The following is a 24,839-nucleotide window of genomic DNA, read 5'->3' on the forward strand; positions in this document are numbered from 1 at the left end:
GGAAAGAAGGAAGGGAGGAAGAAGGGACTGGGAGTGTTGGTAATAGATAACCCTTAATATCCCATTCAGATCAAATTTCTATAATTATAATGTGGCTCTCTGCCTCTGGAGGTCACTCAGTAACAAAGAAATATAACTTTAAAAATAGCCAAAGTAGGAAAAATAACAATCATTCTCATAAATCTGCAGTTTCTTTCTTTCTTTCTCTCTCTCTCTTTTCTTCTCTCTCTCTTCTCTTCCTTCCTTTCTTTCTTCTTTCTTTCTTTCTTTTCTTTTCTTTCTTTCTTTCCTTTCTTTCTTTCCCTGTCTCTCTCTCTCTCTTTCTTTCTTTCCTTCTTTCTTTCTCTTTCTTCCTTTCTGATGGAGTCTTGCTCTGTCACCAGGTGGGAGTGCAGTGGTGCCAGATCAGCTCACTGCAACCTCCACCTCCTGGGTTCAAGTGATTCCCGGGCCTCAGCCTCCCCAAGTAGCTAGGGACTCAGGTGAGAGTCACCAGGCCCAGCTAATTTTTGTATTTTTAGTAGAGATGGAGTTTCACCATGTTGGTCAGGATGGTCTCGATCTCTTGACCTTGTGATCTGCCCCCCCTTGCCCTTCTGAAGTGCTGGGATTACAGGCATGAGCCACCACACCTGGCCATAAATCTGCAGTTTCTACAGCTACTTTGCAACTATGAACAAATGCTAGTGTACACAGAAAACTCCCTCCCTCCTGTAAGCTTCTTATGCATGCCACAGACTCTGGCCTCCCAGCTGGGCCAGATACATTTGAATGCTGGAGCACTCAGCTGATTAAGATACCTAATTTCTGAATGATCCCACTCACACCAGGAGGACAGTGTTTAGAGCAAGATGTTACATCTCAGTTGACTCACCTTGTGCAATGATTTCTTTTTATAAATGCTAATTGCAACTCACTAATTAAGAGAGATGTTACACTGGGCAGGAAAATCATTGAGTCAGGAAATCTTGCAATTTTCTCTAGCATATTTCATGAATCAAAAGTCTTGATCTGATGCAGTTTTTTCATGGCCTAGAGGGCAGAATAGGAGCTGAATACCACAGCTTCTCTTCATAAGGGTGGTATGGAAATGGACTCCCAGTTTAAAAGAGAGTCAAATGTCCATCCTGGGAGAATTAGCAGAGTATTGTGGTTAAGGGCAGAGGCTTTGAAGACAGGCCTGGACTAATTTATTTTTGCCTATGGTTTAGGACAGAGGGTCCAAGACTGTCTTTTTCATCTTGTCATCTCAGCATTTAGGATAGCAAGGGGTACATAGCAGGTGCTAAATAAATGTGTTGTGAAATTTAAGTCCTGGTTCTACCATGCATAAGCTGTTTCCTAGGGCACCTTCCATAACCTCTTGGAGACTCTTCTGTTTTTTTGCTTTTGTGTGTGTGTGTGTGTGTGTGTGTGTGTGTTGTTGCTGTTGTCATTATTTTGTAAAATGGGATGTCTCAGTTGGGGTTCCTCTGCAGGAGAACCTGAGAAAAGGATTTGATTACAAATAGTTAACTTGGGAAGTGATCTCAGGAAACACCAGTAAGGGAACAGGAAAGTGGGGAGGAGATGGGAAAGCATCCATAAAGAGTTTGTTATCAAGCATTTATCACTGTGGGCAACTAAAGGAAAATCCCACTGGGGTACTCTGGCAGCCAGGATCTACACATGGCTTTATGTGTAAACAGAAGAGCCTTGCGACCAAGGGGTGAGGGGGCTGGGGCATTGATCCAACACCTCCTGTTGGTCACTGGTTGAGGAGGCATTAAGTCCCTAGCACTTACGACCTGTAGACAGGCCCACAAGCAAGCTTCAGTGACTGGAGAAAGTCCTCTGGCAAAGAAATGCAGATGCTGGCAATTCAAAATCTAGCCACCTGCACTACAGGTAAGGGCAAGCGGGTCTGGGTTGCGGTGACAGGCACCAACAGGGCCAGCCTCCCAGGAATAATAAAACCTATGTCTTAGGTTGATGTGAGGCTTAAATGAAGCGGCGGATGGAAAGGACTGATTGCGACCCTGCACACTGTACCTCCATTCACTGAGGGCTTCCTGCTGTCATGAGAACATGGAAAATGTGGCGCTCCCCACTAAGGCCCCTGGAGCCATGCATCAGGTAGAATACAGTCTCAAGGGCATCTTGAGACCTTATAGATCCAGAGAAATGCCACTTCCTAGCCTTGGAAACTGACAATGCACATTAGCATATGGAAGGCTCTGAGGATTCTTATGGTTAAGAAACTCTTTAATTAAATGAGGATTTCCCAAACTTACTGGAGCACAGAGTTCTCTTTCCAAATAATGTATGCCAACTTTCAGTGTAATCCAACACTCCATGAAGCACATTTTGGGAAAAGAAGGCCTGAGACTGGTGAATTTTACCCAGAAAAGCATTCCATAATTTCCAGCTCACCCCCAAAATTCTGCTGACAAATATGTTTCCTTAACTACACCCAAATCTTCTGATTTCATCTTCTTTTTTTCTTTTTCTTTTTGTTTTTTGAGACAAGGTCTGGCCCTATTGCCCAGGCTGGAGTCCAGTGGCACCATCTTGGCTCACTGCAACCTCAGTCTCCAGGGCTCAAAGGATCCTTTCACCTCAGCGTCCTGCATAGCTGGGACTACAGGCATGCACCTCTACATCCAGCTAATTTTTTGTATTTTTTCTAGAGATGGGTTTCACCATGTTGCCCAGGCTGGTCTCAAACTCACAAGCTCAAGCACCTTGGCCTCCCAAAGTGCTGGATTACAGGCATGAGCCACCATGCCCAGCCTCACCTCCTTTTTTAATGAACCCAAACCCACCCTGATGATTTTTTTATTCTGCATTTCTCAGATTCATAATGGTTTTCACGTGTGATTTGAAATCATTTATGGGAGCTGCATGAGCAACTTACATCCTGGAGTTTACAGGTGTTGCACCCTGCCCAAAGTTGCTGAGTGCTCACCAAGTCCTGCTTCTCTCAGAGGCAGCATTACCTAATGGACAGGAGTCTCCGGGCCCAGCTCTGTTGCTTATTAACTTTCCCAACGTCATTTGTAAAATGAGAAAATGTCTGTTGTTCACAGGTGATATAGTTAGGCTCTGTGTCCCCATCCAAAATCTCATCTTGAATTGTAATCCCTATAATCTCCACCTGTCAAGGGTGGGACCAGGTGGAGGTAATTGGATCACGGGGGCGGTTTCCCTCATGCTTTTCTCGTGATAGTGAGTAAGTCTCAAGAAAGCTGATGGTTTTATAAGCATCTGGCATTTCCCCTGCTTGAACTCACTCTGTCCTGCCACCCTGTGAAGAAGGTGCCTTCTTCTCCTTTGCCTTCCACCGTGATTGTAAGTTTCCTGAGGCCTCCCCAGGCATGCGGAACTGTGAGTCAATTCAACCTCTTTCCTTTATAAATTACCCGGTCTGGAGGATTCCTTCATAGTAGTGTAAGAATGGACTAATACCACAGGTTACTATAGAAATTAAATGAATTACAGCACAAAACATCCAGCACTGTGCAGCCACCAACTAATGCTCAATGAATGTCGCTTGCCTTTCAAATTTCTTCCTCTAACCACCCCTAGCCCTGATTCCAATTCTTCATTACTTAGATAATTGTCATATAAAGAGAAAATAGAATGATGAAATGGAAAGACTGTTGCCTGAATAATTCAGGCCACTTAGTGAGTATCTATATCCATATAGACAGCTGTGTAGCTACCTCTCTACAGGTAGGTACCTTAATATGCAATGTCCATCTGTATCTATATAGAGATACAGATATATAGAGGCAGAGATATTTCATGCAATAAATATTTATTAAGCACCTGCTGGTGCCTGGCATTGCTCTGTGTTGGATGAAAATACTGAATAAGACAGACATGATCCCTGCTCACAAGTAGGTTACGGCCTAGTAGTACAGACAAGTCACATCAAGAAACAACTAAACAATGAAGCAAACAAACAACTAATTACAAATTGCTTCAAGCAAATGCTTGTATAAATTGCTATAAAACACACAAATTCCAGTGAGGGACACTTTAGACTGTGTGGCCACAGAGGCCTTTCTAATGAGGTGATAGATCAGTGGAGAACTGAAGGGAGAGAGTGGGCCATCAGGGGACGCAGGGGCAAGTGCCATCCAAAGGAGCGGGTTGCTGCCTGCCATTGCTGAGGCAGGGAGAAGAAGCCTGGGGGGTGCAGGAGAAGGCAGAAGCTCTAAGGCCATGGCAGGCTTTATGGGCCGTAAGGAGGTCTTGGTTTCCATCTAAGAAGAAGGAAAAAGTTTAAAGAGGTGGGCCACAAAAGCAGATTGAAAAAGGGTTGACATTTTAAAAGATCCCTGCAAACAACTAAAGAAAGGAGATGACTGTGAGATTCTCAGAGAATTCTTTCCTGCCTGCTATTGATCTCCAAAAAGTGTGATTCTATAACAAGAGCAAACATTGACAGTGAGTCAGATACCTCTGTAATCATTTTTAAATCACTCATTTTATTCCCACAACACCTTACATGCGGTGGCCATGGTTGTCCCCATTTTACAGATGTGGCAGCAGTTGAGGCACAGAGAGCTTAAACATCTTGCCGAAGCTCACCTAGCAATGAGATGATGGAGCCGCGGTTGAAATTTAGGCAGTGGAACTCCAGATGTGTGCTCACCCTGCCCTGTTCTGCCTCCCTGGAAGCACGCTCAGCCATGGCTCTGGCTGCCTCTCCCATGCTGCCCCCGAGATTTCATTCCCTGTATGCCTGAACGTCAACACAAGTGTCTTTCTTCTCAGTCCCATGGAAACGGTTCCTCCACCATTACGATCTGAACTAAAACAATAAGAAGATGCTATGCAAAAAATGAACCTGGGTGAGTACTGAACACTTTAAAATGCAAGACTTTACTAAGGCTAAATAGAATTGAAAGCTATAGCCTCAGAAGAGAATGTCACAAAACCCTGACACAGTGAAACAATTACATAACTAAGAAGTGAGGGGAAAGGATGGGGGAGAAAATGAAATGTCATTTTCTCTTCTTTCACAGCAGAAAGTTCATCTGTTTTACACCAAATTAAAAAACAAAGTTGGCCGGGCATGGTGGCTCACGCCTGTAATCCCAGCACTTTGGGAGGCCAAGGTGGGTGGATCACGAGGTTAGGAGATCGAGACCATCCTGGCTAACAGGGTGAAACTCCGTCTGTACTAAAAATACAAAAAAATTAGCCAGGCACGGTGGCAGGCACCTGTAGTCCCAGCTACTTGGGAGACTGAGGCAGGAGAATGGCATGAACCTGGGAGGCAGAGTTTGCAGTGAGCCAAGATCACACCACTGCACTCCAGCCTGGGTGACAGAGCGAGACTCCATCTTAAAAAAAAAAAAAAAAAAAAAAAAAAAAGTTAAATGAAAACATGACTCTACCTTCATCTTTTCTCCTAATTGCTTTCTCATATTCATATCAGCATGTCTTAGGAGGTAAAAGTTACAAAGTTTAGCGATTGCTTCATTTTTCTCCAATTTTTCTACATTCAAGTGAAATCACCTTTGCAAAATTATGACAACAAGAGAAATCTGACAGAGCTGACTCCCTCTTGCTTCCAACTTCCAAGCTACCCTTAGTCATTCCTGGGCATAGGCCAAGCTAACTTTGGGAGGAATTTATAGTTTAACCTTTAAGCAAGGACAGTAATAGCCCTTCCCAAAACTAAATTGTCCTTGTAAAACTAACGAAAGGCCATAAGGTTAGGGTTATAAGAGGTGCCTGAATTCTGCTAACACATAAGCGCAGTTAAATGATAACCAGCCATTGTTCTGGAGGTCACAGATTTGTAACTTCCTCAATTACTCTTGTAAATAACATCACTACTGTAGAACTGAAGACTGGCCCTGGGAGATGTTTTTCAGACTTCTGGCATTTCTGGCGAGTGACTGACCCCACCTGGACCCAAGACTCATGACTCAGCCAGTCCTGTGGTCCCCACCCAGAGGACTCAACACGAGTGGACTGTTTTCCATACGCTTGTGGTTTTACCCCCAAGCAATCAACATTCCCTGTTCCCTAGCCCCCTGCCCACCAAACCATCCTGAAAAACTCCTAACCTCCTAGCCTTTGGGGAGACTGATTTGAAGGATAACCCTAGTCCTCCAGGGTGGCCAGACTCACATTAATTAAACTCTTTCTTTACAGCAATACTGCCATCTCACTGAATTACTTTTGTCTGTGCAGCAGACAGGGAAAATCCACTGGGTGACTACACAAATAAGCTTAAACTTAACAGTTTTATTTTTTAAAAAAACATGTAGGCCAGGCACAGTGGCTCATGCCTATAACCCCAGCACTATGGGAGGCTGAGGCAGGCGGGTCCCGAGGTCAGGAATTCAAAACCATCCTGGCCAACATGGTGAAACCCTGTCTCTGCTAAAAAATACAAAAAATTAGCCGGGCATGGTGGCAAGTGCCTGTAATCCCAGCTACTCGGGAGGCTAGTACAAGTTCATTTTATATAAATTTCTGTTTGTCTAACTTATTTACTTATCTACTGTACAGAAAAATATCTAGAATGATCTTTATCCAATGTGATCAAATGTTTTATGATATTTGCTTTGGTTTGTTGGACACATTCTTCTTGGCATTTTCTGTGTTGCTTCCATTTCTCTTAAATGAATATGTTGAGTTTTTTAAATAATAAAATAATTATTTTGAAAATACATAAGGAAGACGTCCAGACTTGCTTTACTTGATCATATGAAATAAACTCCTCTTCACGCTGGAGCAAAATAAGAGCACTCTTATCTTGGGGGTTTTGGAAGTATTTCTGTGGTTTCTGGGATGCAATATCTCAGCCAGAAAAATAAGCCCTTCATCCTGCCTTCAGCGAGGCGAGCCCCACAGCAAGGGCCAAAGTCTAGGAGGCCTGAGCATGAGGCTGCAGTGTCTCCAAGCCCCACTGCCTTTAATGGGAACAGCGTCCTGGCACCCTCTCCAGGATCACAGCAGTGAGCTCTGTCCTCTGGTCACCTGCGCCACCAACACCCTGACAAGGTCCTCCTCCTCCTTAGCGATGGGCTGCCTCCTTTCCCACAGCTTCTGGTGCCCCCATGGGTTGGGGGCAGGGAGGGAAGTAGCAAAGAATTAAGAATCAGATCCAGAGAAGCATGTGGTCATATCAAAGAAGGAGTGTAAATAGCTCCTATACAATGAGGTGATCAGATCTCTAAGAGGCTCAGGGAAAATAATCAGGAATAAGTGGAAAGACAGAAATGAAACTGAACAAAAGAAAACACTTTTAGGGAGAAGGAAGTTTGAGGCAGGTCATCATCCTCAAGAATCTTCTTTGAGGCAAAAGAGCTGTATGCCATGAGGAGAAAATGATACAGGCAGAGCAAGAGAAAAATAATGACCTAGTCATTGGCTCAAGATTAAAAGCTATAATAGACCCTTTGATCCTCACAGTAACTCCTTTAGGTAGTGAAGGCAAGAGCTCATCTCCTTATTATAGGTGAGGGTGATAGGATTCAGAGACTATAGCTTGTTGCTCAAGGTCAAGCAGACTGGTGCAGGTGCAGCCTGGACCACAAGGAGGTCTCTGGACCTGATCACTCGGCCATGGGAGTCTCCTCTCTCTCCCCTTCCCCCTTTTCATGGAAGTGAGAGTTGTGTGAATCTGATATTCCCCATAGTCCCCCCCTCCATGATTCCTAGTTTGCTCCCAGCTCCTCTCCCCTCTCTAGCTCCATAACTGGGGTCAAAGCCAGGCTAACTTGAGAAGCTGAGTGGAAATCTCATTTTTGGCTTGCTAAGAAGTTGTCTTGAGACCCCTTTGTTTCATAGGGAGGAAGGTTTCCCAGCAGAGGTTAAGTTTTGTGCTCAGGTTTAAGGCATGAGTCAAGGTCAAGCTTCGGTAGTTGCCCAGGTTTTATTTCAAGGGAAGAAGGAGTTCAAGGTGATAGCTCTCTTTGAGGGAGGGAGGAAGGGAGGACTGTGTAGTTGTGGATATGGTAGCCTGGCCAGCCAATGCGTAAGTGTAATAAGTAATCCTCATACTCTCACCCCATGCTGCAAGAACTGTGGTAATAACCTTGAGCAACGGCACACCCTTCCTCCTAACAACACAGGTTTAGGCTAAAGACATTATCCATTAAAAATAACCACATTTTATAAACTTTGTGTTGTGTGAGTTTTTTCCCCATTCTTTTTTGAAGCAACTGGCTTGGTACATAAATTACACTGTGTGCTAGAGAATATATGACACGGCTGTGAATTACAAGGTCATAATTTTACCAGCAATTTTAGATGCTGCCATAAACCATCCAATGTCTGAGAGAGCTCTAATACATTTTGATTTTTTTCCTAAGCCCCCAGAATGGCATTCTAGGCCAGCTCTTAAAAGATGCTTCATTTCTTGCTTTTGTTTTAGGAAAACAATAGCCAAGTAACATCATCCGCTCCTTTCTTTCTTTTCTTCCCTATAGTATCGTTGCCTTTTATTTTTTTGTTAAATTACTAGCATCTATCTTAGATAGATGTTCCCTCAGCCTTCTTATGGGAAAGATGGGCTTATGTAGGGCTTTGAGTGAGCAAAGTTCCCAGAGCCACACCATTTTGGCCCAGGGCTTGCCTAAAGACATAACGAAGTGACCTTGGACCAGGTGGTTCTGTTCAGTCTCAGGTGGAAATGTTTTCCCTGGTCTTCTGTCCTTACCTTCTTCTCCACTTCAACTTAAGTTACACCTACATCCTTGCTTTTCCCCTAATTTTCAGGCCTTTGTTCATTTGCAAACACTTGCCCTCAGTTTGACCTGCCTATTCCCCCCTCCTGTAGCTAACAAATTTCTACTTCAGACTCCAGGAACCAGCCAGAACACCACCTCCTTTTGGAAAGTCTTCCCTGGGACACGTCAGGCTGTCTCTTTTCTGCCTGTTCCCCCAGCACTCTCCTGCCATATTCAATGCAACACACTGGAATTCTTTACTTACTTCCTTCTCCCCCATGAATGAGCTCACCAGCCCTTGTCCCTTTTCTTTTGTTCATTCATTCATGTCTAAATTCACAAAACATTCATTGAGGGTTCCTTTTAGTAACTTCAGTAAGACTTGACACAGTGCCTAGAATGTGGTAATGGGAATGTCTGTTGAATGAAACAAAATGAGCTAAAAAGAAATAAGTGGATGGAGGTGGATGAATCCCAACTACTGTGCATCTGCAGGACACGGTCAAAGAGAAGGTCCCTAACAGGGTAACTGGGAAGGCTCTCCTCCTGTTCCCCTGCTCTTCTCCAAGGGTGTCAACGGAGTAAGTCCTGCCCCAGAGTAAATCCACTCCAGTTACTATAACCACGCACTGAGGATCCCTCAGCTGCCTCCCTATATGATCACTCTGAAATATTCACACCAGTCCACTTCCTGGCTCCCCAAAGAAGGATGCAAATTCCTCCCCCTGCTCACCTTTTTCTCTTGTCTGGAATGCTCTTGGCCCTCCACTCCACTTAGTTAAGGCTTTTCCATGTTTTAAGACTCAACTCAAGTCCAGCTCCCCCAGCAAGTCCCTATGGCTACAGGCACATCTGCCTACTTTTAACTTATAGCATATACTACATGTGGTTCCTAATCAGAACATAACTCATCCCATCTGAATACAGGCCTAACTAATTGGCGTGCACTGAGGGAGCAGGGGCAGACCATAGTTCTCACTGCTGAGGGGGAATGTGACTGGTTAAAAGACCTCTAAGTCTAGCCCAGGCTATGCTATTTACTACTTGTGTGACACTGCAGACCTCTTGGAACATCCTTGCCCATATCTGCCAATTCAGAGATAACAATAACATCCATCTCACAGAGTTTATCAAATACAGTAATGCTTACAAAAGGTTTTCACATAGTTGAACAGCTGTGGAAATGTCATGTCTTATAAATGCACCTAAGTAAACTCAGGCAACCCTAATAGGCCCTGGTTTTGTTAGTCATTGAGGCCACTCCTTCCATATGTTATGTTCCCTTGGCACTGAGCTTCCTTTCAAATTAAGAATTGAATTGATTCATGCAGGTGACTCAACAACTCATAATTTAGATCTGCTTTCACTCTCACCATGAAATACACACAGACAGCTGACACCATGCTCTTGACTTACGAGCCTATTTTTCTAAAAGGCCCAGTCCCTCCAAGGCTCTTTCATCCACTCAATATGGTCAGCCACAGGCTTGGTTTGAACTGCCTGTTGATAGAAACATTGTCTGTCGGCTCCATGGTCCTTGACCACATGACAGCCTTCAAGGACAGATGTGGGATAAGGAAATAAATAACAGCTGTTTTACTGACACTTGTACTCATTCATTCAGGCCAAGGTGAGAAGGATGGGTAGGATTCTTCATATGGACTCACTGGTATATCCTAGTGAGTTTTGTTTAAGAGACAGGGTCTCTGTGTTTGTCACCCAGGCTGGGGTACAGCGGCATGATTATGGCTCTGAGCAGCCTCAACCTCTTTGCCTCAAGCGATCCTCCTGCCTCAGCTTCCCAAGTAGTTAGGACTACAGGCATAAGCCACCACGCCCAACTACTTTTTTTTTTTGTAGGGATGGGGTCTCACTATGTTGCCCAAGCTGGTCTTCAACCCCTGGGCTCAAGCAATCTTCCTGCCCTGGCCTCCCAAGCTGCTGAGATTACAGGTGTGAGCCACCATGCCTGATGGAGTTTTAATAGTAGTTACTGCATTGCACCAGCCAGATATTTCATCTGAGAAAAGTCAGGCACACTAGGTTCCATCATTCAATTACTATCCTATTAAGCTGAATTCAGTTATGAGTGTGTTTAGAGATGTGCATGTATCTTGTAGTCAACGCATGGATAACATGTGAATTCTATCCAAAGCAATAAGTGCTCTGCATACATTTAAATGCATGTCTTCTCATGTTTACTCTTCTGTAGTATTATTTAACTATTTATTCATCTTTTGTTATATTGACTTATGAAAGACTTTGAACTCTTGTTGTAGAAAAGGTATTTGGAATTCCCATATCTATAACTAGATTAAGCTACTCTAGGCTGAAATTGTGTCTTACATTTCACAGTATACCATGCACAACAAGCAGAGTGCTATGATCCATATGTATCTATTGAGTGAATCATTTATTAATCTCAAATTACATCCCCAAATCCTGTTCTTTCCTTCCTTTGCCTTTTTTTCCTAGATATCAAGAAGCACACTGATTCTAGTTAAGTAGTTATTACTTTGAGCTCAGTTAAAGATACTAAATATTGGCACTCTTGGTGGCCCCCATTCCAAGCATCCTTTTATGTAAAAGAACTGTAATCCTATGAGCAAAGACCTGTAAAACTGACTGCAGCTAAGGGAATTATGCCCCCATGCAGATAATGCTGTGGACCAAACAGTTCCGATAAGCAAACAAAATCTCTCAGACAATTATGTTCTTGTTTAAGGCCGTTTGCCTTGGAATTCCCAAAAGGATTCTGGAGGATTGCAAATTTGCTGGGGATGAAGAAAGAAAGTACTAGCTAGAGTTTAATAGATTATTGGATTAAGACAGGCCAGAAACAGTCAAACAAGAAAAGTATTATGCAAAACCTTCTAAGGTTCTAATCTCACCTTATTTCTATTTTGATTAATATTTTCCTGGGAAAGAAAAGATGGGGGTTTTTGTTGTTCTCTGACTACAATCCAGAGATAACATCTTTGCCTCCAGTTTTCATCAAGATAAAGACCTGGAAGACCCGAGCCAAAAGGAAGGAGCTGGAATTTTTTTTAAATCTTTCTTTCTGGTCTTTAAGGAAGTTATCTGAAAACCCACTGGTACTCTCCAATGGGTAAAGAATGAGACAGAACTAGCAGAAAGTGTTAAAGCATTAGACAGGCAAATTAACTTAGAGACAGTGGGAGAATGATTCCATCTCCATTGATTTTCCAGTCTGTAAATATGAAATGCTGGAAGGATACTTGTGACATTTGGAAAGTTTTATCTAGAAATCTCCAATTAATTTTAGAGTGCATAGCATACATCAATTAAACAGACTGCGGGGTTCATATTTCCTACACGGTCGTGACTCATCCTCGGAAGATCTGACCCATCAAGGATAATGATTTCATCTTGATATTGGTGACTAATATTTCTGTTTGTATGTCCAGTGTCTGCTACAGAGCCTGACATAGAGTAAGTAAATGCTCAAACATATGGATAAATGAATCAATTAAAAACCTCATAAAATCTTTACCCTATTAATCTTCCTCCTATAGCAGGGGTTGGTAAACTACAGCCTGTGAGACAAATCTGGCCACCACCAGTTCTTGCACAGGACACCAGCTAAAAATGTTTTCCCCCTACATTTTAAAACAGCTAAAAAAATTAGAATATTTTATGGAATATGAAAATTGTATGAAATTCAAATTTCAGTGTCCCGAATACAATTTTATTGGGACACAGCTATGTCCACTCTTTTACCTATTGCCTATGGCTGCTTTCATGCCACAGAGGCAGAGTTGAATGGTGGTGGTGGAGATCATACAGCCCCTGAAGCCAAAAACATTGACTATCAGGCCCTTTATGGAAGAATTTTGCTGACCCTTATTCTATAGAATGGAACTTGGGAACCCTTATCATTTGTCATTCATTCCATTGTTCACTCAGTGGCTATTTACTGAGTATCTCCCATGCGTGCAGTGCTCTGTCCCATTCTGGGGATAAAACAGAGAGCTGAGAAAGATCCCTGCCTTGATGGAACTCACAGTCTGGGTCTGGAGCAGCAGAAAGAGGCTCATCAAGTAACCTTCCAAGCACCTTTGCAATCACAACAGTGAGGAGAGCTAAGAAATGGTACATGGGGTAAGCTTCCATGATGTACTGATGGTTATGCTAATTACTAAAGACTGTCAAATCAGGACCCAAATTGTCTAGTGCCAAGGTGGATGTCTTTGCTCCTTCCTTTTTCTGCCCTGAGACACTCTTCATTCTCAGTTGGGTTTCCCTTTTAGAATGACCTGTGACATGTGTCTTCTCCTCATGTGACACTCTTCCTCTTTCTAACCCCAGCACCTAGAACAAAGCCTGACACACGGGAGACACTCAGGGCATCACTGTTGAACAAATGAAAGAATTAATTCATTAGGAGAAGAAATGTAAGCAAATTCCTGGGCATCCCCAGGCCCCAGTTTTCTCATCAGTAGAATAAGAAGGATATGATGTACTCAAGCCTCCCAGCTCGGCATTCTGCAATTTGTCATGTCCTGAGAGCTGGACTCATCTGGCTTTCTGATTCACTCCTCTCTGTGGACATAAGGCAGACTCCCTCTGACTCAGCAGCCTGATGCATCTTCCTGAGTGACACATGAACTCTGCCCAAGGCAAGGCGGCCAGCCCCAATCCATTCCACGGATCACTGCTGACAGTGAATGGGAGTATACCTGGGGGTTTTAGCCAAGGTCTGCTCAAGGTCTTTGGCATAAAGGGAGGCCAGGTTGAACACACACCAGCAGGAAGAGAGATGACCTTGACTTCATAAATTGGCCATAAATTAGAGCTAAGAATCAGGAAGATTCTCCTTCCATGCACATTTCTAAATGGCAGTTTCAAGGCAGGTGGCTATTTTAAAACACAGACACAAACTCATAATTCACCCTCTTTGTCCCCCACCCTCCTACATGCCATTGATCTTTCTTTTTTTTTTTTGGAATCCTGAAACATGATCTTTAAGAAAAGACAACTGGACTCCAGGATTACTTCCTAGCTCTTCCTCCTCTAGAAGCCACCATTTCTCTTCGCTATCTAGACCCCAGGGAAGTGGCTTTGGCAAAAGCACATTTGCACCCATGGATCATTTGGTTTTCTTGTCCTGTTAACTGCCTGGTTCTGCAGCACCCAGAGCCAGATAATAGAGGTGTTCCTTCACCAGCCACAGCTACTATCAGGATCCCTCTTAGTCCGGAGGTAACAGAAGCAACTGGTTGAACGTGTTTCCTCCTGGGAAATCCTAAATGTTCCATATGGCAATAGGGAATCTAGAGTTGTGTTTCTCCTTGTATTAGGGATATTTTCCCTCTTTCAGTTTCTTCCCATTTTTTCCCATCTAAAATATGTTTTTTCCACTTTGCTGAGATGAAGACCAGCCAGAGAGTCAAAGGAAATGACAGACATGCCATAATAGAAAGAAAAAAATACAGACTTCTGAAGAATGAGTTGATTCATGCCATGAAAACTCACGATAAAAATATTCACTACTTTTTTTTGGCCACTTGTCATAGTGTGCTGCCTCTGCTAGGCAGCTGAAAGTGTCTCATATGAAAAGCTCTATTATCCTCCACAGAAATGACCTTTGGGACCCACCCAACGGTAGTCAATGGTAATATTATACTAACTTGCCCCCCAAGAGGAAAGAATGAAATAATAATACTTAAAATATGAATGCAGAGAAGTCCTCACTTAAACACAGTACTTCTGGTTCATAAATCAGTTCTGACACATTGAAGTACACATATGATGACTAGACGCAAGTTTATTAACACATTTTCTTTCTTTTTAGGTCTGAGAAACATATCTATTCAGAATCCATACATTTGTTCATTTTTTGAAGCTGACAGCTTGATAGGCAAAAAGTAAAGTGACAGATCATTTCAATATTTCTTTTAAATTCAAAACCAATTCAGTCAAAAGACCGAAGGAAAATATTCTACGGAGATAAAATGATAATGCAAACAATTGAAGACAGTCCTTTATTTTAGTGAAAACAGGTAATGTCTGTACTCTGGAGTCGGGCTGACTTCCTCCTCTTAACCTGCCCTGCAAGTCCAATTAGAATGGTTTTCTGCGGGGAGTTGTTTTCCATTTATACTTAGCCCGAACACGTATACCTACTTTTCAAACTCTTAGCTATTCACTTGACATTTGTCTTCTTCAGTCTTCACTAAATAGTCTTTGGACCCTTTGGGAGTCTTATAAGAGTTATTTTCTGAAAGTTAAAAACGTAGGACCTTATTTCGGCAGAGGTTAACTAAACCAGGCTTCAAAGAGGATTCTGAGGGCGACAGCCACTATAATGTCCATTCCTACTTTCCTTCACTAGGTGGCAGCACGTCACAACACATTTTTCAGAACAGTCTGGGGAAAATGCAGTTGAGCTAAAGTGAGGTTGGGGAGTCTCTGCGGGCTATGGGAGGAGGATACACATTAGGGCAGGTCAGTGCATGGAAAAGCTGGCGACACTTGTGTTTCCTATAGGTCCCCTTTGTTCCCAGTGGAGCTGGGGCCCTTCGTCTCTAACAAACCAGAAGTACTTGTACTAATGGAAGGGAGGCTATTTATTTCATAAAATAAATATAAACAAACAAGAAAATTGAAATAAGAAGTCCTCTGACCATGTGCACGTTGCTCCAGACACCAAAACATGAGAAAGCACTTCTGACCCAGTTTGTAAATTCGAGTTATAGTATTTTACGTTTGCTAAAATATTCACCTACCACAGTAAGAATTTTTGTTTATCTGATGCAACCTGTTTGGTGTTATAGGCAGATGCTAAGTTACAGGCTTTGTGGTGGATACTGGGCAACAGATGTGGTAAGAAGGGGAGCAGCCCAAGATGAAATTTCCTCCAAAACACCAGAGGTTCCTGTCTCAAGCAGAGAAATCATAATACTGCAACACATACTAGTTTGCAAAGGGCAAGTCGCTATGGCCAAAAATGATTGATTCAGAGGAAGAGGAAGGGAAGGAAGAAGAAAGAGAGGAAGAGGAGGGGAAGGACATGGAGGAGGGAAAAGAAAAGGAGAAGGAGGGAGAGGGAGAGGAGAAGGAGGAAGAGGATGAAGAGGAAGAAGAAAAGAAGGAGGGGAGGAGGAGTTTTAACTGAATACTGTATTTTTGCCTTAATGTAGGAAAGATGAAGGGGAGAAGGAGGTAACTGCTAGTGGACATTGAGAAGCTGTCAATACAGCAAGACCTTGCCAAAGGTTGATCAATAGCCTCTTTTTAAAATTAATACATAGTAGATGGATGTATTTTCAGTGTCTATGTGATAATTTGATACATCCATATTGTCAAACTAGGGTAACTGGGACATCCATCACCTTAAAATATTTATCTTTTCTACATGCTAGGAACATTGAAATTATTCTTTTGTAGCTATTTTGAAATGTACAATTGATTCATGTTAACTTGTCACCCTAATGTTAACTGGTCACCCTACTGATCTATCAAACACCAAGTCTTATTTCTTCTATCTAAGTGTATATTTATTCCCATTAATCAACCTCTCTTCATCCTCCCCTCCTTCCTACCCTTCCCTGCCTCAGATAACTACCAATCTACTCTCTATCTTCATGAGATCCCCTTTTTTTTAGCTCCCACATGTGAATGAGAACACGCAATATTTGTCTTTCTGTGCTTGGATTATTTCACTTAACACAACGACCTCCAGTTCCATCCACGGTGCCACAAATGACAGGGTTTCATTCTTTTTCATGGAACAGCCTTCCTTTGAAGAGAGACATTCACTCTCCTGCTAGAGACAGCCTCCACCTGGCCTGCTTCACCCATTTGTTATCTTCTTGTCCCTGTAAGCATTTGTGTTTGCAATCTGGGGTTTATAGATTCATCTTTCCTATAGTAGGGCTAAAATATCTTAGTTTAAACTCCAAGCCTAGGACAACAGCTGGCACATTACACTTGTTTTAAGGTTTGTTGAGTGAATGATGATAATAATAAAGATGATGATAATAATGAAACCGGCAATATTTATGAAGTTTCTTAACCAGGGCAGAGACTAGGGTAAGACAGTGATGCATCCAGGGAACAAAATTGAAAGGCACGCTCATTTTCTTTTTCTTTCTTTCTTTTTTTTTTTTAATTTTGAGACAGGGGCTGACTCTGTCCCCAGGCTGGAGTGCAATGGCATGATCTTGTCTCACTGCAGCCTCGACTTCCTCGAGCAATCCTTCCACCTCAGCCCCCAAATAGCAGGAACTTCAAACATGCAGCATCATGTCTGGCTAATTTTTGTATTTTTTGTAGAGATGGGGTCTCACCATGTTGCCCAGGCTGGTCTCAAACTCCAGGACTCAAGCGATCCTCCCACCTCAGCTTCCCAAATTGCTGGGATTACAGGCATGAGCTGCTGCACCCAGCTGAGGCCCTCGCTTTCAGGGTCACTTGCTTCATCTTGCTCCTAGCCTATTTATAACATAGGCCAGTTTTCTTTACATGATTTATCTCATTGGTAGGGCTTTTAAACATTTCTGTCTCTCATCACATGTATGAGTTACTACTAAACCGTGGGTATATAGTAGTAATTAAAAGCTCAGGCGCTGAGATCACAAAGATGTGAGTTCGAATTCTTGCTGTATCACTTGCTGAAGTCATACAGCAAGTAAGACAGGTCACACAGGTCACCTCTCCAAGTTCCAAGTTCCTCTACCTGTGTGTTAGGATTAAATGAGATAGGCCGGTAAAGAGCTTTGTCCAATACCTGCCACAAAATATAGTCATGCATTGCTTAATGACAGGGATGTGTCATTAGGCAATTTTGTCATTGAGCAAACATCATAAAGTACACTTAGACAAACCTAGATTGTATAGCCTCCTACACACCTAGGCTATATGGTATAGCCTATTGCTCCTAAGCTACAAATTTGTACAGCATTACTGTACTGAATACTGCAAGCAACTGTAACACAATGGTAAGTTTTGTGCATCTAAACATATAAAAGATACAGTAAAAATACATATTATAAGCTTATGGGACCACCATTGCATATGGGAATTGTTGCTGACAGAAACATTATGTAGCAGGACTGTACATAGCAGCTATAATAATAATAACAATAACAAGAGCAAAAATAACTTATTTTATTCCTATTACATTTATAAGGATTTCAGAGAAAAATTCATGTTCAGGTCATCAAAATTGATTAGTAGCTATTGTATGCAAAACATAGTGCCAGACATTTAGAGGAATATAAAAGAATATATAACATAGCTGCAAATCTAGACCAGGGATCAGCAAACTTTCTCTAAAAAGAAAGATAATAATTTTTTAAGGCTTTTTTGGGTCCTATCTTCTTCATGTCATTGCCATAAACAATATGTGAACGAATGAACATGGCTATGTTCCAAGAAAACTTTATTTACAAAAACAGGCAGTAGGCCAGAGTGGCTAACTCCTGATCTAGTTGATGAGTCAGGACAGGTACATGTTACTTATAAAAACACAACCACATCAGAAGATCACCCATGATCAAAAGAGTGGCTCAGACTATAGTGGTTTTGGAAGAGGCAAGTAACAGGATAATAACTGGTTGAGTGCAGGTAAGCAGAGAAGACAAGAAAGCAGCTGCTAGACAAGAAACTACCAAAACCATGGCGATGGAACATATCTGAGATTGGGTAGGAGTGGTTGGTAAGTAGGCTGGCTAGAGTGAAAATGGGAGAAATTCACAAAAATGCAAACAGGGCTGGAGAAGAAGGCTAGGTGAGAATATAAAGAAGGAAGACCATGAGACTGAGTTTTTTGTTTGTTTAATTTAATTTAATTTTTTATTTTTATTTTTTTTTTAAGATGGGATTTCACTGTATTGCCCAGGCTGGAGTACAGTAGCACAACCACAGCTCACTGTAGCTTCAACCTCCAAGGCTCAAGCAATCCTCCCACCTCAGCCTCCTGAGTAGCTGGGACCACAGGTATGTGCCACCATGCCGGGCTAATTTTTTAAAAAAATTTTTGTAGAGACAGGGTCTCACTGTGTTGCCTAGGCTGGCCTCAAACGATCCTCTTGCCTTGGGCTCTCAAAGTGCTGGGATTACAGGAGTGAGCCACCACACTCAGCCAAGTTTTTACAAAAAGGAAGTATCTGCTGTGCTCCCAATCTGGCCAGTGAGGTTTGCAATCCACTCAGGAAATAATAAGCTAATTTTACCCTTTATGAGCTGGGTTGCTAAATTCCTACCTGGCCTTAAAGGGGTAAGTCGAATTTAGTGATTGTGATATGGGAGCAAAGTGTCACCACACTAGTGTTTGGCATTTATTTCGAGTGATATAGTGTGTCTTATGAAAAATGGGCCAGGCACAGTGGCTCACACCTGTATCCCAGTACTTTGGGAGACCGAGGTGGGCAGATCACTTGAGGTCAGGTGTTCAAGACCAGCCTGTCCAACATGGTGAAACCCCATCTCTACTAAAAATACAAAAATTAGCTGGGCGTGGTGGTGGGCACCTGTAATCCCAGCTACTTGGGAGGCTGAGGCAGGAGAATCACTTGAACCCAGGAGGCGGAGGTTGCAGTGAGCCAAGATTGTGCCACTGCACTCCAGCCTGGGCAACAATGCAAGACCCAATCTAAAAAATAATAATAAAAATAAATTTAAAAAAAAGAAAAATGGAGCTCTGCTCACCACCTATCATCTGTTCTTACTCTCATGAGCAGGCTTGGGCCCAGGCCTGGGCATCTCAGTGTCTGCAAGTGAGATGACTGGGAAAGAAGATTTGTTCAAATAAGTCACCCTGCTATTGGAGAGAGGCTGGACCCTAAGAGAGCCCTTCCCTCGAGGAGCGGGCTGAGATACTGTATCCCTGGGAGAAGGTTGGAGGTGAGGCTCCATCCCTGGGAGAAGGTCGGAGGTGAGGCTCCATCCCTGGGAGAAGGTCAGAGGTGAGGCTCCATCCCTGGGAGAAGGTCAGAGGTGAGGCTCCATCCCTGGGAGAAGGTCAGAGGTGAGGCTCCATCCCTGGGAGAACATCGGAGGTGAGACTCTAGGGATGAGTTAGAAATTTGGCCTGGGACCTCCCTCCGCCCCTCTCCTTCCCTAATCTCCAACACACCCTGTATCTATTTTCCTGAATGAGTTGACCCTATCCTAATTTCAGAGAGTTTAGGAAGCGATATCAACCAAATTGGCTCTAGACAAAATACTAGTGACTAATAAAGTCAAGCAAAGGTGCTCATTCTTACTAGTAACCAAGGACTTGGAATACCTTAGAAGGGGATTACAAGTGGAAGATCCAAGAGCTATGGGAAAAGGGTTCTGCTGTTCAAGTTGAAATTGTAATATGGAATATCATAGGATGAGTATATCTCAAGATGTAAATGACTCAGATTTTAATCTCAAAAACATATGAAATAAAGGATTACATTAATAAGAATACTGATATTTAGGAGCACAAAATAGCAAGGTTTACTCTAATACCAGAATCCTGGAAACTTGCATAGCAGCTACAACTAGAATTCAAGTTCAGCCTCACCGTGGGCTGGACCAGCAGATCTCAAAGTGTGGCCCCCAGATCAGCAGCAGCAGCATCACTTGGGAATGTGTTAGCCATGCAGATCCTCAGGCCCCATCCCAGGTGTACTGAATCTGAAACTCTGGGGATGGAACACCCCAAATCTGTAATTTAACCAGACCTCTAGGTGACTCTGGTGCACTCAAAGTTTGAGAACCACTGGTCTATCTAGAATACATAGTGTGCTTGTTCCAAAGCAATTGTCCTTACCACGACCCAAAGAGCCTCACAGAATAGATTTCGGAAAGTACGTGTGCGTGTGTGTGTGTGCGTGTGTGTGTGTGTGTGTGTGTGTGTGTGTGTGTGTGTGTGTTGAAGTTTCTCAGGTATTCAGGTATGTTCCTCTGGTTTAAGAACCACCACTGTGCCAGGCCTCTCAACAGTGGCTGCACAAGTGAAATTATTCAGAGAACTTGAAAACATTCTGGTGACTGAGTTCATCCCCAATTCTCATATGCTTGGTTAGAAATACAGTCTGGCCAGGAGGACGTGTCAGAGTTCCTGGGTGATTCTAACATACTGCCAAGATCATTTAGCCCATAGAAGAATCACCAGGAGAATTTGTTAAAACAGATTCCTCAGCCCTACCTTTCAGAGATTCTCCAGGTTTAGGGTTGAACTCCAACATTTTTATTTCTATTAAGCTCCCAGGCCATGTGCTGGCTTGCAGACCGCACCTCGAGTAGTCCTGCTCTAGGAGAAACATGTTTATATTTTAGATACCTGAAATCTTCTTTGGGCTGGGATGGCCAACTTTCCTCCATCTGTTCCTCCTCTAAATTCCTATAAACTTACTGTTCTTTCTAGAGGACACTCCAATTAAGTTATTAACATCTTATAGAGGCAAGATCTATGTTTTCCCCATCTTTGGGTCACTCCTAGCACCTAGGGATTTGCACACAGTAGGTGTTCAGCTGAATAATGCAGTCGAATCCCTGAGCTGGTTTCAGGTGTTCATTTTCTCCCTATCTGATCTGCTAGCCAGGTCAATCCATTATGGCCCTGGTCTCATGGAAAAGAATCAAGGCATCTATTTTTTGAAGATGATGTGAAGGTAAATATACGTCCAGTCCTAGAGATTTAGGTTGCTGAGGAGGCTGTTCCAATAATACCCCAGATGAAGTACAGCCATCTGGAGAGGTTTTGGCATCCATGCAAACCTACTGCTGAATTCGTTCCTTGAAGACATTCATTTTAGGATGGTATTTCCAATTTGGCATATAACAGAGCCATGCAAATCAATGAGGATTTAGAATCTCTACTTACGGAGGGCATCTTATTTAAAGCGTGTCCCTGACAAAGCAATATCAAGGGAACACAATTGGAAATCTCTTGGAGAGGAGTAATTTCTCTAGAAGCAGTTTTAGCTATAGCAGCGACCGGAACAGCAATGAGCTCCCTGAAATACATCCAAATTTTTAGTATTCCACTTGGCTGGGCTGCCTTCTTCAGAGCCCAATCATAGGGACAGAACTTAATAATGAGTTCATTTTTCTTGTCACACTAGAGCAATTCAGTTGCAATGCTATTCATAAGGTGTATGTTGCCATTGAATTCTTTCTCAAAAAAAAACAAAAAAAAAAAAGCTCAAGCCAAGAGTAGAGCCCCATGTCAGTCTATATGCGCTAACAAAATACCTTAGACTGGGTAATTTATAAACAACAGCAATTGATTGCTCACAGTTCTAAAGGCCGGAATGTCCCAGATCAAGGCGACAACAGATTCAGCATCTGGGGAGGGTTTTTTCTCTGCTCCATAGATGGCACTTTCTTGTTTCCCTGCATGGTGGGAGGGACAAACAGCCTCCCAAGGGCTTCTTTCATAAGGGCACCAATACCATTCCTGAGGGCTCCACCCTCATGATCTAATCATCTCCCAGAGGCCCCATCTCCAACACGACGGCATTGGGATTTCATTTCAACACATACATTTGGGGCAGATACAAACATTCAGACCATAGCAGCCCATAACATCTAGCATGATACTATTTCAACATGGACTAATGGTAAAAACATGGATTGTTTTTATTTATTTGGCTACTTGTATAGAATGGGTCAAGAAGCTCAGAAGAGGGGACTGGTGAACATGGGGGAAAAAAGTAGTTTGGAGGCTGGTAAGTTATTAAAAATGTGTTAACTTGTAGCTTGAGAGACAGCATAGTATCATATCAAGTAACATGGACTTTGGAGGTAGATTGCCTGAGATCAAAGCTGAGCTCTACCATTTACTCACTAGGTGACTCTCAGCAATTTATTTAACCTTCTGAAGCCTCAGTTTCCCCATCTGTAATATGGGCCCCCAAATGACACCTATTTCATAGTACTGTTTGGAAGAGCACTTGAGACAATTATATACTGTATGTACATACACATACATACATATATATACACATATATGTAATATGTGTAATATGAACACATCTAACTTTATTCTAGTTATGGAAGCACTTTTCTTTTGGATTTCTCTTTCTCTCAAACCCCCCAACCCCCACTCTCCTAAGGACACCTGGCCCAAAAAGGGAAATCATACTTTTTCTTTTCTTTATTTCACTATTCTTATTCTAAAGAAACCCACAGACTACAGACAGCAGTTTACTTAGAAGGCTCTGGGCTTCAGGGAATCTAGATGTCCAAGTTGAAAGTCAGCTGCCTGGAACATGGAGTGGGTGACCTCTGGGGGCACTCAGGGGCCCTTCCTTCCAGGCTTCGGGCACTGTCACTGAGAAGCAACTCCCTTGGGGGAGGGGTGCTTTTGGTCATAGCGGTTGAGTCAAGTTATCAGATGTCAAATAGCTTATAGGAGTTCAAAGTGAGCCTATCTCCACCACTGCTAACCACGAACTGCCCATCTGAGCATGATGAAATTGGCCCCCTTCCCCTCTCCCCTTGCTACTTAATTGCTCACAAATCCAGCAAATTGCAGGACCAGCCTCTAGGGGGCACCAGAGACCTTTCCTTTCAGAGCCCAAAATGCCATTTCAGTAGCAGCAGAGTAGTGTGTCCTGGAGCTGGAGCATGGTCCAGTGTCTCTTGTGCTTTTTGGCCTACTGAGTCCTTAAGTATATTTAATTTAATTTGGGTAGGGTGGTAGAGGGTTCCTTTTAACAGTGTATTCATGATTTCTCTAGCATTTCTTCAGGAAAGTTATTTATTTCTTTTAGATATAGAATTTTTACCATTGGTCCATTCACTCAAAATCACTTCAAAAAACATTTGCTAAGCTTCCACTATGTGCAAGAGTGTCCTGGGCATACAAAAAGTAAAAAGCCATGGTGTGTGCTGTCACAGACTCATTCTAGAGCAGCGTGGTCCCACAGAACTGTCTATGATGATGGAATGTTCCACATCTGTGCTGTCCAGCTCCGCAGCCAATGAGCCACATGGGGCTCTTGAGTACCTGAAAAACAGCTGGTAGGATGGAGGAACTGAGCTTTTAAATAGGCAAATGTGGCTAGGAGCTACCATACTGGACAGCACAGTGTATTAGTTTGGTGCAAAAGTAATTGTGGTTTTGGCCATTTTTAAGTGGATTGGTAAGCCTGGCTATTTAAAGTGTGGTCCACAGAGCAGGAGAATCACTACACCTGAGAGCTGGTGGAAATGTAGATCTCTGACGTTAGCATAGGCTTCCTAAATCAGAAACTGCATTCTAACAAGATCTCCTGGTGCTTCTCATGCACAGTAAAGTTTAGAAAGTTAGGAGATGCATACAAGTGGTTCTCATCCTGACTGCACTTCAGACACAACTGAGAAACATTAAAAGAAGCTGAGCCTAGGTCACACCCTCCACCCAGAGATTCTTAGGTTAATGGTTTAAAGGCTTGGCCTGAACATGAAGAGTTTTAAAAGCACTCTGGGGGATTCTAATAAAAATTCGAGAACCATCCCAGCATAAGTCAGTACGGTGGCTCCAAAACTGGAGATCACCAGGAGTGCTTGTTAAAACACAGACTGCTGGCTCCAACTCGCGGTTTCTGATCCCTGGGTCTCGGTTGAGCTCTAAGAACCCTCATGTGTAACAAGTCCCCAGTAACGCTGATGCTGCTGATCCAGGAACCACACTTTGAGAACCACTGGTCTAATCATTTTAAAAGATGGGCTCCAGAATTGGACTAACCTGAGTCTTGGACCTGCCACTTACTTAGACCCTGAACCTCAGTTTCCCAAACTGTAAACTTGGGCTATGAATATTTACTCATCGAGTTATTGTGAATATTAACTCAGAGAATGACTGTGAGATGCTGGGCATAGTGCCTACTTTTAATAAGCAATCAATAACTGTTCCTTACTATCATGATCCTAAGAAGACTCACTCATTCATTCATTCAACAAGTATGAACTATGTGTCAGGCACTGTTCCAGGTACTAGGGACATAGCGAAAAACAAGGGGGCCACAGTCCCTGCCACATTGCTATCATGGAAGCTGCAGTCCTACCTGTCAGTACAAAGCAGGCTGCGTATGGTGCTCCTATAGCACGAATCCTAACAGCACAATACAAAGGTCAGAGAGGAATTCATTCCAATGGATGAGAATGGGAAAGCTGCACACAGGAGCTGGAGTCAGAGCTGTGCCTTAATGGGGAGAAGGATTACAACCT

At 42.9% G+C, this 24,839-nt stretch overlaps 1 protein-coding gene across 56 annotated transcripts in view, besides 2 other annotated features; it reads right to left on the reverse strand.

Annotated features, from left to right (window-relative positions):
• The window catches only part of KCNMA1 (potassium calcium-activated channel subfamily M alpha 1), a 768,207-nt gene that overhangs the window by 281,287 nt on the left and 462,081 nt on the right, over positions 1-24,839 (reverse strand). The window lies entirely within an intron of this gene.
• Positions 12,529-13,728: an enhancer, noted in NCBI's record as "MED14-independent group 3 enhancer chr10:78923175-78924374 (GRCh37/hg19 assembly coordinates)". NCBI's record gives its function as "activates an origin of replication core promoter dependent on BRD2, BRD4, P300/CBP and CDK7 cofactors, and independent of MED14, by STARR-seq in HCT116 cells {active_cell/tissue: HCT116}" and the evidence as "EXISTENCE:reporter gene assay evidence [ECO:0000049][PMID:35650434]".
• Positions 13,063-13,357: an enhancer, noted in NCBI's record as "tiled region #3384; HepG2 Activating DNase matched - State 9:DNaseU". NCBI's record gives its function as "activates a minimal TATA promoter and a strong SV40 promoter by Sharpr-MPRA in HepG2 cells {active_cell/tissue: HepG2}" and the evidence as "EXISTENCE:reporter gene assay evidence [ECO:0000049][PMID:27701403]".

The sequence above is a fragment of the Homo sapiens genome, chromosome 10, assembly GCF_000001405.40.
Source record: "Homo sapiens chromosome 10, GRCh38.p14 Primary Assembly".
Classification (NCBI taxonomy): Eukaryota; Metazoa; Chordata; class Mammalia; order Primates; family Hominidae; genus Homo; species Homo sapiens.